General features: G+C 49.8%; 1 protein-coding gene across 1 annotated transcript in view, besides 2 other annotated features; it reads right to left on the reverse strand.

Moving 5' to 3' along the window:
- ABR (ABR activator of RhoGEF and GTPase) overlaps window positions 1-20,222 on the reverse strand; it is a 226,204-nt gene that overhangs the window by 197,551 nt on the left and 8,431 nt on the right. The gene's annotated exons all lie outside the window — the stretch shown is intronic.
- Window positions 15,278-16,275: an enhancer, noted in NCBI's record as "H3K4me1 hESC enhancer chr17:1119641-1120638 (GRCh37/hg19 assembly coordinates)". NCBI's record gives its function as "activates a minimal SCP1, AML or CMV promoter by ChIP-STARR-seq in primed H9 embryonic stem cells {active_cell/tissue: H9 hESC(primed)}" and the evidence as "EXISTENCE:reporter gene assay evidence [ECO:0000049][PMID:30033119]".
- Window positions 19,120-19,619: an enhancer, noted in NCBI's record as "H3K4me1 hESC enhancer chr17:1123483-1123982 (GRCh37/hg19 assembly coordinates)". NCBI's record gives its function as "activates a minimal SCP1, AML or CMV promoter by ChIP-STARR-seq in primed H9 embryonic stem cells {active_cell/tissue: H9 hESC(primed)}" and the evidence as "EXISTENCE:reporter gene assay evidence [ECO:0000049][PMID:30033119]".

Genomic DNA, 20,222 nt, shown 5'->3' on the forward strand with positions numbered 1-20,222 from the left:
GCCCAAGCCCCAAACCCTGATAGGAATAAAATGATCAGAGGAGCAGCCGGGGAGGCTTTGGTGCCCCTCAGGCAGCCGCATCACTCAAGACTGTTCACATCAGCAATAGCTTCACGGGGCCGGTGTCCACGAGGCTGCTGCTCCGGATGCAAAGCACAATGCTTTAGGTCAGGATGTGGGTTCTAGAGACAGAACAGACCCGGTTCACGGCCTGGTGTCACGACGTATTGAACCTCTCTGAGCTTCAGTCTCTTCAGTAATGACGGTAAGTGCTTTAACTGAGATTGTTAACAAGACCCAGCGAGATCGTGAAAAGAAGACACCCCGCACAGCGCCTGTTCCCTCGTTAGCACTCACGCAGTATCAGCTATTATCATCATGCTGGCTGACTTTTATGTGAGCGTGTATAACACGGGTACACACACACACAACACCTCTCTCCGGAGGGTAAAAACAAGACAAAAAGTGAAACAGGCCCCCCGATGCCGAAGAGATGACGGCAACCCCGATATTGTGCGTGGTGTGAAGGTCACCAAAGCAAAACCACACGCTTTGTTTTCTGGGGGTGTCTCATTGACAGTGCAGAGGTAGCTTACTAGCATTTTTGCTTGTTTGTTTGTTTTTTTGAGAGAGTCTCGCTCTGTTGCCCAGGCTGGTGTGCAGTGGCGTGATCTCTGGCTCACTGCAACCTCTGCCTCCCACGTTCACGCCATTCTCCTGCCTCAGCCTCCTGAGTAGCTGGGACAACAGGCGCCCACCACCACGCCCGGCTAATTTTTTTGTATGTTTAGTAGAGATGGGGTTTCACCGTGTTAGCCAGGATGCTCTCGATCTCCTGACCTCGTGATCCGCCCGCGTCGGCCTCCCAAAGTGCTGGGATTACAGGCGTGAGCCACCGCGCCCATCCTGCTTACTAGTGTTTCTTAAAAAGTCAAAGCAACGCTATTCTTCATAAGTGTGTTCCTCCCATACTTTGCTATTCAAGAGCAGCTAGATTAAGAGAAAGAAGATCCATCTAGAAAAACATAATCCCTTTGCCTCCTTTTATTTATTTATTTTTCGAAACAGAGTCTGGCTCTGTAGCCGCTCTGTTGCCCAGGTTGGGGCACCACCATGCCCAGCTAATTTTTGTATTTTTAGCATAGATGGGGTTTCCCCATGTTGGCTAGGCTGGTCTCCAACTCCCGACCTCAGGTGATCCACCCCCTTCGGCCTCCCAAAGTGCTGGGATTACAGGTGTGAGACACCGCACCTGGCCCAAGAACCTCTTTATAACAGATGCAGCCATACCAGAGCCCCAGAGCGCACATTCAAAAGAGAATCTCCAACCTCTTATTACTCATCTTAGATCACTCATTCTAAATTGCAAATTCAAAGGGGATCCCGGCTGTCTCTTTCCTATACTCTTCAGCGAACAGTCCCCAAACACACACGTGCCCACTCATGATGAAGTTGCATTCAGAGTATTTCCCCTATGGACAAAGAGGCTCAGATTCCTGACCCTCTTCTGAAAGGCCCCAGCTGCCCCCTTTTCACATCTTCACATATGAGCTGGCAGCAAATGTTGCATGAAATGAAGACCCTGTTAGGAAAGGGAAGGTGATCCATAGCCATCTACTCCTAATCCGCTGACCCTTGATGAAATAGGCCTAGGTTTAGGGTTAGGAAACACTGCGGCTAGAAACAGAGACCTTGGAGACAAATGGCCCTCTTGTTTCAACAAGGAAGCTTCTACTGCTTGGGAGAAAGTGGTCAGCTCAGCTCTCCTCGAACCCTACTATTTAGGTTGGTGCAAAAGTAATTGCTGTTTTTGCCATTACTTTTTTTTTTTTTTTAAGATGGAGTCTTGCTCTGTCCCCCAGGCTACAGTACAGTGGTGTGATCTCGGTTCACTACAACCTCCGCCTCCCGAGTTCAAGCAATTCTCCTGCCTCAGCCTCCCAAGTAGGTGGGATTAAAGGCATGCACCACCACGCCTGGCTAATTTTGTATTTTTAGTAGCGACGAGGTTTCATCATGTTGGCCAGGCTGGTCTCGAACTCCCGACCTCAGGTGATCCGCCCGCCTCGGCCTCCCAGAGTGCTGGGATGACAGGCGTGAGCCATCGCGCCCAGCCCCATTCCTTTTAAAAGGTCTTTCACTTGCCGGTGTGAGCAGAGGATCCTGGGGAGACTCCTTGGAAGGGGCTTCGGATCCAGCCAGGCTCCCGCGCAGTCCTCAGGGGGCGTGGCCCGGCTCGTGGGGGCGGAGTCCATGGGGGGCGGGGTCCGCGGGGAGGAGCCTGCGGGGCGGTCCCCCGTGGGGGCGGGGCCTTGAGGGGGCGGGGCCCGCGGGGGGCGGAGTCTGCGGGGGCGGGGCCCGCGGGGACGGAGTCTGCGGGGGCGGGGCCCGCGGGGACGGAGTCTGCGGGGGCGGGGCCCGCGGGGACGGAGTCTGCGGGGGCGGGGGCCGCAGGTCCTGGTCACGTGATGAGGCTGCGGTAAGTCGCCCGGGCTGCCTAGTCCTCCAGGCGCGGTTAATCCAGTCGGGAACCCCTGAGTCACCGCCCGCCGCCGCTGCGAGGAGCCCGGCGAGTGTTCGGCCTCGGTTTCTGAGGTTTCGGCGGGAGCGGTGATGCAGACGCCTTCAGGGCCCGGGTCGTGTCCGTGACTCGCGCAGGAAGGCGGATGGCGCCCCCCGGGCCTGCCTACACCCTGGGAACCTCGCGGGGCGAAGGGGGCTCGGGCGCTCTCTCCGCGTGGCGAGAGACCCGCCAGGGGGTGTGGCGTGAGTGTGTGTCCCGCCAGGACGTTCCGGTGGCGCCGCCTGACGCGGGAGGAGAAACCAGCTCCAGCTCCTCATCTGGATTTTACATAAATCCATGGCTCAAAGTGCTTTCCTGTCCGGACCTCGGTGCCGGCTTCACGGGGGAAATCCCTGGAGCCGAGGGGAGGGCACGAGAAACCACCGACCCCCGGCCCACGGGCCAGCCCAGTCCACTCCTCCCGGCCTCTCCCTCATCTCGGCCTGGGCCCCGCAGAAGCCACCACCAGGGCTCCTGGATTCCACCAGGGGCATCTTAGTCCCCAGCGGGGCATTTAAAGACTTAATGTGGGCCGGGCGCGGTGGCTCAGGCCTGTCATCCCAGCACTTTGGGAGGACGAGGCGGGCGGATCACCTGAGGTTGGGAGTTCGAGACCAGCCTGGACGGCATGGTGAAACCCCGTCTCTACTAAAATACAAAACATTATCCGGGCGTGGTGGTGCGCGCCTGTAATCCCAGCTACTCGGGAGGCTGAGGCAGGAGAATCGCTTGAACCCGGGAGGCAGAGGTTGCAGTGAGCCGAGATTGCGCCACTGCGCTCCAGCATGGGCGACACAGCGAGACTCTGTCTCAAAAAACAAACAAACAAAAAAAATGAGAAACATGGGTTCAAACTACAGTCCTGAGCCATATGACCTGAAAGGACTATATATACAAAGGTGGTCCAGAAGATTATAATCCTGTATTTTTTCCTGTACCTTTTGTACGCTTAGACGTGTTCAGATACACAAACATTTTCCATTGTGTTACAACGGCCTATAGTATTCAGTATAGTGACCTGCTATACAGGTTCGTACCTAGGAGCAGTAAGCTGTCTATATCATATATCATATCTATATCACATAGTGGGCTATACCATTGAGCCTACTATGTACCTGGGCTGTATGTTAGTATTTAGGTTTGTGTGAAATATACAGCCAGGTGATTTTTGTATTTAGGTTTGTGTAAAATATACTATGATGCTTGCACAACAGTGAAATCATCTACACATTTCTCAGAACCTCTTTTTTTCTTTTCTTTTTCTTTTTCTTTTTTTTTTTTTTTTTTTTGAGACTGAGTCTCGCGCTATCACCCAGGCTGGAGTGCAAGGGCGTGATCTCGGCTCACTGCATCCTCTGCCTCCTGGGTTAAAGTGATTCTCCTGCCTCAGCCTCCCAAGTAGCTGGGATAACGGGTGCACCACCACGCCCGGCTAATTTTTGTATTTTTAGTAGACATGAGGTTTCACCATGTAAGCCAGGCAGCTCTCAAACTCCTGACCTCAGGTGACCCGCCCACCTCAGCCTCCCAAAGTGCTGGGATTGCAGGCCTGAGCCACCATACCCGGTTTTATCCCCATTATTAAGAGACTGTAATGAGCTCTGGGCCCTTTGGCACATTACCCAATATTCTTAAGCCTTAGTTTTCTCATACATCAAATGGGGGCTAATAATACAAACCTCTCTGGTTGTGAGAATAAATGAAACAGTGCACAAATGAGATACAAATACTTCTAAGCATGCCGTGAAAGGCCTGAGAATGTATCATCTGTAACAGCCTGTTCTGTAGGCTCCTTCTGGAGAGAGGAGTGGGGTCGGGGGGAGAGGTGACAGGAAATGACAGGCTTCATTTCCAAGATTTCAGTAGCGTTTGAATCTTTTCTATTGAAAATGCATTGGCTGGGTGCAGTGGCTCACGTCTGTAATCCCAGAACTTTGGGAGGCCAAGGCAGGAGGACTGCTTGACCCAGCAGTTTGAGACCAGCCTGGACAACATAGTAAGACTTCATCTCTACAAAAAATACCAAAATTGGCCAGGCGCGGCGGCTCACGCCTGTAATCCCAGCACTCTGGGAGGCCCAGGCGGGCAGATCACAAGATCAAGAGACGGAGACCATCCTGGCCAACATGGTGAAACCCCATCTCTGCTAAAAATAGAAAAATTAGCTGGATGTGGTGGTGCATGCCTGTAGTCCCAGCTACTCAGAAGGCTGCGGCAGGAGAATCACTTGAACCAGGAGGTGGCGGTTGCAGTGAGCTGAGATTGCGCCACTGCACTCCAGCCTGGCGCCAGAGCAAGACTCCGACTCGAAAAAAGAAAAAAAAAATACAAAAATTAGCTGGGCGTGGTGGCGCGCACCTGTAGTCCCAGCTACTTGGGAGGCTGAGGCAGGAGAATTATTTGAACCCAGGAGGTGGCGGTTGCAGTGAGCTGAGATCGCGCCACTGCCCTCCAGCCTGGTGACAGAAGGAGACTCCGTCTCAAAAAAAAGAGAAACAAAATTAGCTGGGTGTGGTGGCACACTCGGGAGGATCACTTGAGCCAGAGAGGTTGAGGCTGCAGTGAGCTCTCATGTGACCACTGACGTCACATCACTGTGATGGGTTAGACACTGATGCGTTTATAGTGTAACTGCCACGTGACTGGGTTGTTGCGTGCACAACCGAGCATCCCTTGACCCCTTAGATCACACAGGGTTTATCCCAGGAATACAAGCCTAGCTCAATATTAGACAATCTGCATGATTCACTACATTAATTTATTATTATTAATATTAGAGACAGGTTCTTGCTCTGCCACCCAGGCTGGAGTGCAGTGGCACTATGACAGCTTACTTGCAGCCTTGGACTCCAGGGCTCAAGCGGTTCTCCTGTCTCAGCCTCCTGAGTAGCCAGGATGACAGGCATTTGGAAACTGAAAAGTGGAAATAACCAGCTTTCGTTTCTGGGCTGCAGCTTGTTTAGTGCCACATCTTGGAGAAAGCTCTGTGCTTGTGGTTAGATGGGTTGATCTTGAATGGCCAAGGTGGGTGGATTGCTTGAGTCCAGGAGTTTGAGGCTAGCCTGAGTTGGTCTGCAAACCAGCTCACCAGATATTGGGTTTCACCATGTCTCCAAAAATATTTTGTGAAATTTGTGAAACTCCATCTCTACAAAAACATACAAAAATTAGGCTGGGCGCGGTGGCTCATGCTTGTCATCCCAGCACTTTGGGAGACCAAGGTGGGTGGATCACCTGAGGCCAGGAGTTCGAGACCACCCTGGCCAACATGGTAAAACCCCGTCTCTACTTAAAATACAAAATTTAGCTGGGCGTGGTGGCATGCGCCTGTAATCCCAGCTACTCGGGAGCTGAGGCAGGAGAATTGCTTGAACCCGGGAGGTGGAGGTGGCAGTGAGCTGAGATCTCACCACTGCACTCCAGCCTGGACAACAGAGTGAGACTCCATCTCAAAACAAACAAAAAAAAAAGCCAGGCATTGTGGTTCGTGCCTATAGTCCCAGCTACTACTCCACAGGCTAAGGTGGAAGGATTGCTTGAGCCCAGGAGTTCAAGGGTGCCAGTGAGCTGTGATTGTGCCACTGGCACTCCAGCCTGGGCAACAGTGAGACGTGTCTCAAAAAAAAAAATGTGAACAGATTCTCTCAAAAAGAAGTAAGGTGAGAATATAAATTGGATCAACTTTTCTGAAGGATAATTTTACAATATCTATTTGTATTTAAAATGCATATATTTGGCCGTGTGCAGTGGCTCACACCTGTAATCCCAGCACTTTGGGAGGCTGAGGCGGGCGGATCACCTGAGCTCAGGAGTTCGAGACCAGCCTGGCCAACATGGCGAAACCCCATCTCTGCTAAAAATATAAAATTAGCTGGGAATGGTGGCAGGCGCCTGTAATCCCAGCTACTCAGGAGGCTGAGCCAGGAGAATTGCTTGAACTCGGGAGGTGGAAGTTGCAGTGAGCCGAGATGGCGCCAGTACACTCCAGCCTGGGCAACATGAGCGAAACTCCGTCTCAAAAAAAAAAAAAAAAAGAGAAGTGGGGGAAAAAAGGAAACTGTTGGAATCACAGACCTTATGACTTTGTAATTCCTTGCACAGCCTCTCTTAGAAGATCAGTAACTTTGTTTTTTGTTTGTTTGTTGTTTTGTTTTTGAGACAGAGTCTCGCTCTGTTGCCCAGGCTGGAGTGCAGAGGTGCGATCTCGGCTCACTGCAACCTCCGCCTCCCGGGTTCAAGCGATTCTCCTGCCTCAGCCTCCCGAGTAGCTGGGATTACAAGGCGCCTGCCACTGCACCAGCCTAATTTTTGTATTTTTAGTAGAGATGGGGTTTCACCATGTTGGCCAGGATGGTCTCAAACTCCCGACCTCAGGTGATCCACCCGCTTCGGCCTCCCAAAGTGCTGGGATTACAGGCCGGAGCCACCGCACCTGTCCAGATCAACCACTTTGGGGCCATTGATATCAGAGATGGCCTCCCTGCTCTTGTCTAGGAATGAGGGTGTAGCAGACCCATTGAGTTATGAGTGTTTATAAAAGAGAAGTTGCTCGACCCCCAGATGAGTCCCTGGGTGGAAAGGAAATGGTGGATACTAGAACTTGTTCTTCCTGGCCTTCCTGGGCAACTGACACACAGGAGGCAGCTCTGCCTGTGACCCGAAGGAACTAGGTGTCAGGAGCAGCAACGCAGGGCACCCCAGTGTGAAGTGCCCTTGGCCAGCTGAGGAATTGACATTCTCCTCTCCAGGAACAGCAGCAGCATGTGCTGCGTCTCGATCGGGTGATTCCCACACCATCACTGCATGCCACGGTCCCCTGTCAGCCTGTGAAGAACCAGTCTCAGAGCCACATCTGTGGCAGAGAAGTCCTTGCTACTAATGAGATTCGAGTTCTCTGCTAACGTCGCGGTAGAGAAGTGCTGACCACTGCTCCCTTGTTGACTCTGTAAGGGAGAGGTTCAAGAGGGAGCTGCCGGCCGGGCACAGTGGCTCACGCCTCTTATCCCAGCACTTTGGGAGGCCGAGGCGGGCGGATCACGAGGTCGGGAGATCGAAACCATCCTGGCTAACACGGTGAAACCCCATCTCTACTAAAAATACAAAAAATTAGCCGGGTGTGGTGGCGGGCGCCTGTAGTCCCAGCTACTCGGGAGGCTGAGGCAGGAGAATGGCATGAACCCGGGAGGTGGAGCTTGCAGTGAGCCGAGATCATGCCACTGCGCTCCAGCCTGGGTGAGAGTGTGAGACTCCGTCTCAAAAAAAAAAAAAAAAAGCCTGCTTTGTGCCTGCCAAGTCAGTTAAAGACGGCAAGTGCTTAGTATGGGTCTCTCTTGTACATACATGTATGTAGTGAACACCTGTTTGCTAGCCTAGTACCACAGTTACACTGAAGGCTCCTGAAGCAGAATTTTGAACTCTTTCCCTTGGTTCACTGCTCGGCTCAATGCAGGTGCCAATAAAGTTTGCCTTCATGGTGCCTGAATCCCTTTCTTCCGGATGGAGTTCATGGGAGCTTGGAATTGATAGAGTTCATGGGAGCCTGGAACTTACAGTCATAAAATCAGACATACAGTGTTTTACTCTCTGCAGCTGCGTTGAAGTGGGTGGTGTTTTATTGTTCACATCCTTCTCTTTTAACCTGTTTGTTTCTTTCTTTTTTTTTTTGAGACCGTCTTACTCTGTCCTTCAGGCTGGAGTGCAGTGGTGTGATCTCGGCTCACCGCAACCTCCACCTCCTGGGTTCAAGCCATTTTCCTGCCTCAGCCTCCCAAGTAGCTGGGATTACAGGCATGCGCCACCACGCCTAGCTAATTTTTGTATTTTTAATAGAGACAGGGTTTTGCCATGTTGGCCAGGCTGGTCTCGAACTCCTGGACTAAGGTGATTCACCTGTCTCGGCCTCCCAGTGAGCCACCATGCTCAGCCAAAGTTTGCTTGAATGGTGCCTGAATCCCTTTCTTCCAGATAGAGTTTATGGTAGCCCAGAACTGACCTCTCGTGGTCATAAAATCAGACATACAATGCCTTACTCTCTGCACCTGCTTTGAAGTGGGTGGTGTTTTATTGTCCACATCCTTCTCTCTTAACTTTCTAATACTTGGTGACGTGGACACCCCACACACATACGAGTTACACATATACATAGATAATTATACTGTTTTGTTGACCTTTTTCATTGAGCAGTTTGGAGGTATAATCACTCTAAATTTTCTGCAGCAATTCTTTTAAGCACTGGAAAAAGTTGCATTTATCAAAGTCCAGCAGGTATCCCCAGTTATTTACAAATTCAGCAAATTTACGAATCACAACAAAGCTGCCATCTTAACTCCACGATGATCTTTGCTGCTGAAGAAAACAGATACATATGCCAAAGTGCCTTCAGAACCTCCAACAAATTAAAAAAAGAAAACACATATCTTTCATGGCAAAGACACCTAAATTAGTAAAGCACTAAATTAGTGACGGCTGATCTCTTAGAGAGACAGGGAGAAAGTAGAGGTAGAAAGTAACAGAATCTAGAGAGGCGGAAGCTCAGCCCAGCTGTGTTGGTACTGTGGGGGCTGTCACTTTTTACCTGCGTAGAAAGTTCTGACCTAAGCCGGGCGCCGTGGCTCACACCTGTAATCCCAACTCTTTGGGAGGCCGAGGTGGGTGAATCACCTGAGGTCAAGAGTTCAAGACCAGCCTGGCCAACATGGTGAAACCCCATCTCTGCTACCCAGCTTCTCCGCACTATCGTCCACGTTATCACTCAGCTTCTCTGCACTATCGTCCAGGTGTCACTCAGTTTCTCCATGCTGTTGTCCGCGTATCACTCAGCTTGTCTGCACTATCGTCCAGGTGTCACTCAGCTTCTCTGCACTATCGTCCAGGTGTCACTCAGTTTCTCCATGCTATTGTCCGCGTATCACTCAGCTTGTCTGCACTATCGTCCAGGTGTCACTCAGCTTCTCTGCACTATCGTCCAGGTGTCACTCAGCTTTCTGCTATTGTGTTTGCTCTCAAGCCAAAAATCACTTTGGGCTGTTTCCTCTCTCTCTGCTTCCTGGCTCCTAACACAAAAGGATTACTTTATCACTTTATCAACCAACTGGCAACTCCTATCTACTCACACACAAACTCAAAAGGGCTTTTTCCTCCATGCTTTGCTTAGACCAACCTTAGCCTCTTAAGGACATTTAGAACCGTATTTTTGCATCCTTTTAACATCAACCTGTAGGGCCAGATGGACGGAAAGGGCCCTATATTTTAAAGGTGCCAGACATTTACCACCTCATATCAAGCACTTGGCAAAGCCTGCCAAACTCTGGGGTGCTGGACTGGCTGCTGAAAAATCTCCCGAGCTTGTTAAAAACAGAGATTCCTGGCCGAGCGTGGTGGCTCACGCCTATAATCCCAGCACTTTGGGAGGCCAAGGCGGACGGATCATGAGGTCAGGAGTTTGAGACCAGCCTGTCCAATATGGTGAAACCCCGTCTCTACTAAAAAATACAAAAATTAGCCAGGCGTGGTGGCAGACGCCCATAGTCCCAGCTACTCAGGAGGCTGAGGCAGGAGAATTGCTTGAGCCCAGGAGGCAGAGGTTGCAGTGAGCAGAAATCTCTCCACTTCTTTCCAGCCTGGGCGACAGAGTGAGGCTCCGTCTCAAAAAAATGAATAAATAAATAAATAAATAAATAAATAATGAAAAATAAATAAAAATATGGATTCCAGGTTTTGCTCTGACCCAGTGGGATTCCATTTCAGTGGAGCTAGCCACCAAAAATCGATCTTCTTCTGCTGTTCCTGCAGAGGTGTCTGACTTGCAGTCAGTCCTTATCTAAATTATTCCAGGTCCTGTGGCAGGTGCTTAGAAAACAAAGCGTGAATCATAGGAGTCATTATTGATTGATTATTCACCGTGATTTTTTTACCATAGATTTCCTCATTAATCCCCACAACATTCCAGGAAATAGACACTATTAACACATCCATTTTACAGATAAGATATCCAAGGCACAGAGACGTGAAATAACGTTTTTAAATCCTCACAGCTAGTAAGGGGTAGAGCTGAGGTTCAAACGTGGGCAGTCTGACCCCAGAACCTGCATCCTTTACTGCCATAAGGTGGTATCTGCCTTCAGCAATGCTAGCAAGGTGGGAACAATATGTAAATTACTGTAACAAGGCCGGCCACGGTGGCTCATGCCTGTAATCCCAGCACTTCGAGAGGCCAAGGCAGGCTGATTGCTTGAGGTCGGGAGTTTGAGACCAGCCTGGCCAAGATGGTGAAACCCCGTCTCTACTAAAAATACAAAAAATTAGCCTGGTGTGGTGGCACAAGCCTGTAATCCCAGCTACTCGGGAGGCTGAGGCACAAGAATTGCTTGAACTCGGGAGGTGGAGGTTGCAGTGAGCCGAGATTGCACCGCTGCACTCTAGCCTAGGCGACAAGAGCAAGACCCCATCTCGAAAAAAAAAAAAATTACTATAACAAGAAGAAGAATGAAACAGTGTTAAACTGAGATACAAAGAGGCTGGGCATGGTGGCTCACGCCTATAGTCCCAGTACTTTGGGAGGCCAAGGCAGGAAGATCTCTCGAGTCTGGGAGTTCGAGACCAGCCTGGGCAACAGAGCAAGACCTCATCTCTACAAAAGTTTTATAAGGATTAGCCAGGTGTGGTGGTACATGCCTGTGGTCCCAGCTACTTGAGAGGCTGAAGTGGGAGGCTCGCTTGAGCACAGGAGTTTGAGGCTGCAGTGAGCCCTGATCATGCCACTGCTCTCCAGCCTGGGCAATAGACCATGACACTGTCTCAAAAGAGAAAAAAAAACAACAACAAAACAAAACAAAAAGAGACGCCAGGCACAGTGGTTCACACCTGTAATCCCAGCACTCTGAGAGGCTGAGGCGGGCGGATCATTTGAGGTCAGGAGCTCGAGACTGGCCTGGCCAACATGGTGAAACCTCGTCTCTACTAAAAATACAAAAATTGGCCGGGCATGGTGGCTCACGCCTGTAATCCCAGCACTTTGGGAGGCCGAGGCCAGCAGATCACCTGAGGTCGGGAGTTTGAGACCAGCCTGATCAACATGGAAAAACTCCATCTTTACTAAAAGTACAAAATTAGCCAAGTGTGGTGGCGGACGCCTGTAATCTCAGCTACTTGGGAGGCTGAGACAGGAGAATCGCTTGAGCCCAGAAGTTGGAGGTTGCAGTGAGCCAAAATCTCTCCACTTCACTCCAGCCTGGGCAACAGAGTGAGACACTGTCTAAAAAAAAAAAAGAGAGAGAGAGATAAAGAGATACTTGGGGAGAAGCTGTATCTGGGATGGGAATTTGGACTTAAGAAATTTTTCACCCTTTTACCAAACAGCTAAAGGAGTGTGAAATTCCCCCAACAAATCCTTGAATGGAGCTGCAGACAATCAGAGTCAACCCATCTAACCACGCACAGAGCTTTCTCCAAGATGTGGCACTAAACAAGCTGCAGCCCAGAAACGAAAGCTGGTTATTTCCACTTTTCAGCTTCTAAAACCTGTTAATTTTGTAATATGCTCAGGGTGGGAGACAGCTCAGCCCAGGAAATGATGAGATGTGAAGCTGCAGATTCTGTTTTTCTCCCAAACACTGTGCCGGCCATTAATTCACCTAAAGACCATGATTTGAGACCCAACTAGCAAACTAAGGGGCATCCAAAGAGCAGGAAGACGTGGCCATAGTTTAGGTGACTAAGCAGGTACTATTTGGTGTGAATTAAGGCTGCAGAGCTTGAAGGTCACAGTCTTTTTTTTGAGACGGAGTCTCGCTCTGTCCCCCAGGCTGGAGTGCAGGGGTGCAATCTCGGCTCACTGCAACCTCCGCCTCCCAGATCCACACCATTCTCCTGCCTCAGCCTCCTGAGTAGCTTGGATTACAGGTGCATGCCACTATGCCCGGCTAATTTTTGTATTTTTTTAAGTAGAGGCGGGGTTTCACCATGTTGGTCAGGCTGGTCTCAAACTCCTGACCTCGTGACTCACCCGCCTCGGCCTCCGAAAGTGCTGGGATTACAGGCGTGAGGCACCACGCCCGGCCAAAGGTTACGGTCTTAACTCCTAAGTCCTTCTGTGCTAGCTTCTCAGAGATTGCACGCAAACTGTGCAAAGATACTGTCTTAACCCCACAGTGATTTCACTTCTTCAAAGATGACAGACTCTATGGTTCCAAAGCGACAAAACTGTGAAAACAAGGCAGTCTAAGGTGCTGTTTCTATTTTGGAGAGATGTGAAATGGTTTGTTTTTTGTTTTTTGAGACCGAGTCTCGCCCTATCGCCCAGGCTGGAGTGCAATGGCACAATCTCGGCTCACTGCATCCTCCGCCTCCCGGGTTCAAGTGATTCTCCTGCCTCAGCCTCCCGAGTAGCTGGGATTACAGGCGCCCGCCACCACGCCCGGCTAATTTTGTATTTTTAGTAGAGAAGAGGTTTCATCATGTTGGTCAGGCTGGTCTCGAACTCCTGATCTTGTGATCCACCCGCCTCGGGCTCCCAAAGTGCTGGGATTACAGGCATGAGCCACCGCTCCCGGCCTGAGATGTGAAATGTTACACAGGACTTGGACTTCCCCGCCCCCCACCACCACCTTAAACCTAAAGATAAGCTAACTTCAGGTCCCTTCAACCTAAAATGAACATTTATTTTGGCTTTCATCAGTTTTTGGAATCTATGATACTAGGATGTGTGTGTATATATATATATTTCCTCTCCATGAGTAACCACCACCCCAGGGATGACTTAGGCAAAATATTTAAATTATTCCTTAACAAGTTTAAATTACCCTAACAATGCTGAATATCTACAGTTAATAGCAATTTAAAGGAATATAAAGGAGAGATTTAAGATTTGAATATAAAAATTCTGATCCTGGCCGGGTGCAGTGGCTCATGCCTGTAATCCCAGCACTTTGGGAGGCTGAGGCAGGTAGATCACCTGACGTCAGGAGTTCGAGACCAGCTTGACCAACATGGAGAAACCCCATCTCTACTAAAAATACAAAATTAGCCAGGCGTAGTGGCACATGCCTGTAATCCCAGCTACTCGGGAGGCTGAGGCAGGAGAATCGCTTGAACCTGGGAGGCGGATGTTGCAGCGAGCCAAGATCGTGCCACTGCACTCCAGCCTAGGCAACAAGAGCGAAACTCCACCTCAAAGAAAAAAATATATATATTTGATTGTACATAGTTTTTCCCTGTAATGTGGCAGCTATCTCGGTGTATATAAGCTCAATGGCCAAGTTCTATTTCTCTCCAAATAAAATACTCAGACCAAAAAAGTATTGCTCTTGACCAGGTGGGGTGGCTCACGCCTATAGTCCCAGCACTTTAGGAGGTGGAGGCAGGCAGATTGCTTGAGTCCAGGTGTTTAAGACCACCCTGGGCAACATGGCAAAACCCCATTTCTACAAAACATACAGAAATTAGGTAGGCGTGATGGTGTGTGCCTGTAGTCCCAACTACTCAGGAGGCTGAGGCAGGAGAATCACTTGAACCCAGGAGGCAGAGATTGCAGTGAGCCTAGATCTCCCCACTACACTCTAGCCTGGGTGACAGAGCAAGACTCTGTCTCAAAAAAAAAAAAAAGAAAAGAAAGAGCTCTCCCTCTCCCTCTCTCTCCACGGTCTCCCTCTGATGCCGAGCCGAAGCTGGACTGTACTGCTGCCATCTCGGCTCACTGCAAGCTCCCTGCCTGATTCTCCTGCCTCAGCCTGCCGAGTGCCTGCGATTGCAGGCGCGCGCTGCCATGCCTGACTGGTTTTCGTATTTTTTTGGTGGAGACGGGGTTTCGCTGTGTTGGCCGGGCTGGTCTCCAGCTCCTAGCCGCGAGTGATCTGCCAGCCTCGGCCTCCCGAGGTGCCGGGATTGCGGACGGAGTCTCGTTCACTGAGTGCTCAATGGTGCCCAGGCTGGAGTGCAGTGGCGTGATCTCGGCTCACTATAACCTCCACCTCCTAGCCGCCTGCCTTGGCCTCCCAAAGTGCCCAGAGTGCAGCCTCTGCCCGGCCGCCACCCCGTCTGGGAGGTGTACCCAGCAGCTCATTGAGAACGGGCCATGATGACGATGGCGGTTTTGTCGAATAGAAAAGGGGGAAATGTGGGGAAAAGAAGGAGAAATCGGATTGTTGCTGTGTCTGTGTAGAAAGAGGTGGACATAGGAGACTCCATTTTGTTCTGTACTGGGAGAAAATCTTCTGCCTTGGGATCCTGTTGATCTGTGACCTTACCCCCAACCCCCGTGCTCTCTGAAACATGTGCTGTGTCCACTCAGGGTAAATGGATTAAGGGCGGTGCAAGATGTGCTTTGTTAAACAGATGCTTGAAGGCAGCGTGCTCGTTAAGAGTCATCACCAATCCCTAATCTCAAGTACCCAGGGACACAAACACTGCGGAAGGCCGCAGGGTCCTCTGCCTAGGAAAACCAGAGACCTTTGTTCACTTGTTTATCTGCTGACCTTCCCTCCACTATTGTCCTATGACCCTGCCAAATCCCCCTCTCCGAGAAACACCCAAGAATGATCAATAAATACTAAAAAAAAAAAGAAAGAAACTGAACACCTAAATAGAACTTACTATGTGCCAGGCTCAGCCCTTATATCAACTTGCTCAGTTCTCACAAATCTGCGAGGTAGGGAAGCTGTTATAACCCCCTGCTCCAGAGGAGGAGAGCGGGGCCCACAGGGGCTGTGTCATTTGCCTAGAGTCACGCAGGAGTGAGTAGCAGAGGCAGCCGCAAACCCAGCTCCGAGTCTTCCTCTGTTCCCTGCACTAGACTCACTCCTCTCACGTCAGAAGTGGAGAAAGGGGCCAGAGGAAAGCTGACGCCATTGGCAAAATCACGTCCAGCCTGAAGGGGCCCGTCGGCTCTAACTAATGCCTCCCATTCACATTGCCCATCTTCCCATCTTTCAAGAAAATCCAGAAATCCAGATTGCTAGGTAAAACCTGGTTTTAAATGGATCCAATTTTGTTTTAACCCTCTGTAGCCCAAACAAAGCACATCAGCAGACTGCACTTAGCCTGGGGCCGGCCACGTGCCACCCTGCTGTTGCAGCTGTCTCTAAGGACTGCGCTGTCCTCTGCCTGTCTAAAGACCCTGGGGAACTCTGGGTCTGGTGGCCAAAGGGGAGTCACCTCAGTGAACAACAGCTCCTTCAGCCCATTGATATGAATAATTAATTTCTGCGTGCTCACTGCCAGCCCACAAAGGTTACCAACAAGCTCGGCATTCAGGAAGCCACTCTGTGCCCTCTGAGACAATGAGGACAGGCGTGGGGGGATCCTAGGGGTGTTCAGGGAGCCCCATAATGAAGCCCAGCATGGTGAGCTGTGCTCAGAGAGCCAGCGGATGCCAGCCCAGCCTGCTGCCTAGGTGGGGCCACAGAGCATCATGGAGGCTCATTAGAGATGGGACATGCGGCGGCTTTCCCTGCTGTCAGCAGGAGTGGGCTCTGGATTCCTCAAGATGCTTTAAAATAAAACGGAAAGGCGCAATTATGCAGCCAAACAGAAGGCGAGGCAGCTGCCTACAAAACGAGGCTTTCTCCGTAATAGGACCCCAACCCCAGAGCACAGTGCGGCCGCCTCACCGTCCCCCCCAAGGCTGCAGCCGTGACGCGTCTGTAATTGGATGCTTCGCTGTTCCAGCTCTTGGATTATTCAAATTACAGGATTTTCAGTTTCAATTAAGGTTATGACCAGGCAACAAGATGAGCAAGATACCATGTTTCACCTTTATAGTCTATTTCAGCAAGAAGCATGGCCAAACTAGTAACAGTGGGGATAATCATAAAATTAACCAACACGTACTGAGTGGTTACCATGTGTCAGGTCTGGTTCAAGGTATGTTATATACATATTGACTTATTTAACCTTCACGCCAACTTACTTGACTATTGATATTATATTATCATCGTCCCCTAGCCTACAAATATAAACACTGAGGTGCAAAAAGGTTGAGGAATTTGCTCAAGGTCACATAGCAGTTAAGTGGCAGAGCCGTGAATCGAACCCAGGCAATGTGGTCCTAGACAGCGTGCTCTTATTTATTTTGTTTTGTTTTTTTGAGACGGAGTCTTGCTCTGTGGCCCAGGCTGGAGTGCAGTGGTGCAATCTCAGTTCACTGCAACCTCCACCTCCCAGGTTCAAGCGATTCTCCTGCCTCAGCCTCCTGAGTAGCTGGGATTACAGGCACGTGCCACCATGCTCAGCTAATTTTTGTATTTTTAGCAGAGACGGGGTTTCACCATGTTGGCCAGGCTGGTCTTGAACTCCTGACCTCAGGTGATCCGCCCGCCTCGGCCTCCCAAAGTGCTGGCATTACAGGAACGTGCTACCACGCCCGACTAATTTTTGTATTTTTAGTGGAGACGGGGTTTCACCATGTTGGCCAGGCTGGCCTCGAACTCCTGACTTCAAGTAATCCGCTACCTCGGACAGCATGCTCTTGATCATCACACCAGTAGCTGTTTTCATTTATACGGAGCTCACCACATGCCGGACCCCATGCTACATTATTTCATTTAACCTTTGCAACACCAAGTGAGGTACAATGATCCCCATTGTATAGAAAAGAAAATAAGCTTATAGACAGGTGAATTAACTTGGTTAAGGACACAAAATAACAAGTGGCTACAGCCTGGATCCAAACCCAGTTTCTCTGATTCAAAGCCAGGCTCTTAACCTTACTTGGTACGTAGTCCCAGCTCATTTAACTTACTGGCGTCCATAAAATTTAGGTCTGTCGGGAAAATTATCTAGTCCAGTCACCTTATTTTAAAGTGAAAAGCTATAGTCTGGAGAGGTTAACAGTTAGTGGTGAGCTGGAGTAGAGAATAACTTTGGCCCCAGAAAGAGCTGTGTTCCAATCCTGGCTCTGTCCTTTGTGAGCTGTGTGACTACAGACCAGTGACTCAATGTCTCTAGACTTGTTAATATAGAATGAGAAGAATGATCCTTAGTCTCATGGGAACATACTGATTAAAGTATGTGTGTAACCTACACTTCTGCTCAACATTCGGCATGCCAAAACCATCTCATTATAGTCAGCTGTCCCCAAATTACAAATGGACGATTTCAAACTTTGGCCGATGAGTCTGTTCTTTATGATTTGAAATAATGCTGTAAGTGATGAGTAGGTCACCAAGATGGGCCCCCAAGTCCAGTGAACAGAGACCTTGGAAAACTGCAGTGTACTTCTAGACTTCTCTGAATTCCTTATACATTCCAAATGTGCAAAATCCCCAAGGAAATCGCGTTTTTCAGAGAGCTGAGCAATCAGATCTTTAGGCCTTCCACCCTCACAAATGAAGTTAATATACTACTAGGTCAATGACATCAGGAACACAATAGGTTTGCATGGTGCTTAATTCTAGTATCCTTTTCTATCTGTTTGTTTGTTTGTTTGTTTGTTTGTAACAGAGTCTCACTCTGTTGTCCAGGCTGGAGTGCAGTGGCGCGATCTCGGCTCACTGCAACCTCTGCCTCCTGGGTTCAGGCAATTATCCTGCCTCAGCCTCTCGAGTAGCTGGGATTACAGGTGCCTGCCACCACGCCTGGATAATTTTTGTTTTTTTTAGTAGAGATGGGGTTTCACCATGTTGACCAGGCAGGTCTCAAACTCCTGAGCTCAAATGGTCCGCCTGCCTTGGCCTCCCAAAGTGCTGGGATTACAGGTGTGAGCCACCACGCCCAGCCATGGCCTCACACACCTGGCTCATGGGTGACAAGGAGGATCCTTCTCACTATGTTAGTGATTTAATAACCTTGCACCTGCAGCAATGAACCATCCTGTAAGGCTGATCATTTTCCTTTGCATAAGCCGTCAAGACTGATGATGTGCATCTGGATTTATTTCATTTTTGCGGTCCTTATTTTTTCTTGCCATGGCTGGTTGTATAGCACGATGTGCCTATGTGACCAGCCTCCCATTAAAATCTCAGACTAATACAAAAGTTAGCCAGGCACAGTGGCCCTCGCCTGTAATCCCAGCTACTCAGGAGGCTGAGGCAGGAGAATTGCTTGAACCCAGGAGGCGGAGGTTACAGTGAGCCGGGATTGCCCCACTGCACTCCAGCCTGGGCGACACAGCGAGACTCCATGCCCCAAAAAAATAAAATAAAATAATTGATTTTTAAAACTGAGGAAAGAATAACCCCACCACTTAGCACTAAGAGATCTTGGGCTTGCTGGTGGACCAGTCAGAGCCTCAGTCTCCCCATCTGCCCAATAGGAGGCTGTTCTAAAAATTCAACGTGACAGCGTAGGTAAAGCACTTGACCTAGTGCTTTGCAGAGAGTAGGTACTGGAGTATCTTTATACTCTAGTTCCTTCCCAGCTCTGTGTCAATAAAAATTTTAAAGTGGCCGGGCGCGGTGGCTCACGCCTGTAATCACAGCACTTTGGGAGGCGGAGGCGGGCGGATCACGAGGTCAGGAGATCGACACCAGCCTGGCCAACATGGTGAAATCCCATCTCTACTCAAAATACAAAAAATTAGCCGGGCGTGGTGGCGGGCGCCTGTGGTCCCAGCTACTCGGGAGGCTGAGACAGGAGAATGGTGTGGATCCCGGAGGCAGAGCTTGCAGTGAACCAAGATCACACCACTGCACTCCAGCCTGGGCGACAGAGCGAGACTCCGTCTAAAAAAAAAAAAAATTTAAAGTAATCATTTTTCTCAGCAGTTGAAAAACGCGACGTGAGGTCCAGGCAGCCTCCCCTCAGACAGTGTTATCTCAGGCCGACTGTAGCGAGCGTCGAATGGGAAGACAGGAACAGGATCGCTGCGGAAAGACTTGCAGATTTACTCTGCAGCTACGCGGTGCAGAAATAACAGGACAGACTCACGTGGTGTAAATACAGCTACACAGAGCGGTGGTGCAAAGTCAGGTGGTCACGGGGATTTCTGCTTATGATTCTAGTATGGTATACAGAGCCCAGTTTCCAAAACAGCCAAATCTGCCCCAACACCTGGACGACGAGTCCCTGTGACTACAACACAGCCCTGATGTTTGGAGGTGACCCACTCCCCACCCTCCTTGCAATGGGTTCCTCAAAACCAGAACAAGCTAAAAACGAACCTTACACAACCAGCATTTTCCAGCACAGTAAACCAAGGCAGGGAATGTATTTTTTTCACTGAACTTCTCATTCGTGACTATTCTAAAATCAACCAGGAACTTATCGAGTGCCGGCCATGAGCCCAGCCCTGTGAAAGATACTGTTGTGGGAGAGAAAAGGGGTCTAAACGACGGTCCCCGCTTTCCAGGAGTCAGCTAACCACTCAGTTTGAGAGCAGCTCTTCACAGTAAACATGTAAAAGGCTACTGCCTTGCACAGGGCCGTGGCTCCGTTGTTATTTGTTTACTGACTCAATAAATTAATAGATGGCATAATAATAAGACAATTGTGCCGTGTGGGGCCCGCTCTAAGAACCGCAAGATGGGTTGGAGTCGTTGGAAAAGGCTGTGCCAGAGGCCACTAGCTGCCTACGCAATATCAATTCTTCTATTTTTCCTTGTAACAGAGCCCCTATTTTACTTGAGGTGGCCATACACCCAGATAAAATACTGCATTTCCCAGCCTCTCTTATACCTCGAGGTGACTAAGGAGATAAAAACAGAAACTGTCAAGAGAGGTTCCCAGG

Source organism: Homo sapiens, chromosome 17, assembly GCF_000001405.40.
Source record: "Homo sapiens chromosome 17, GRCh38.p14 Primary Assembly".
In the NCBI taxonomy this organism is placed as follows: Eukaryota; Metazoa; Chordata; class Mammalia; order Primates; family Hominidae; genus Homo; species Homo sapiens.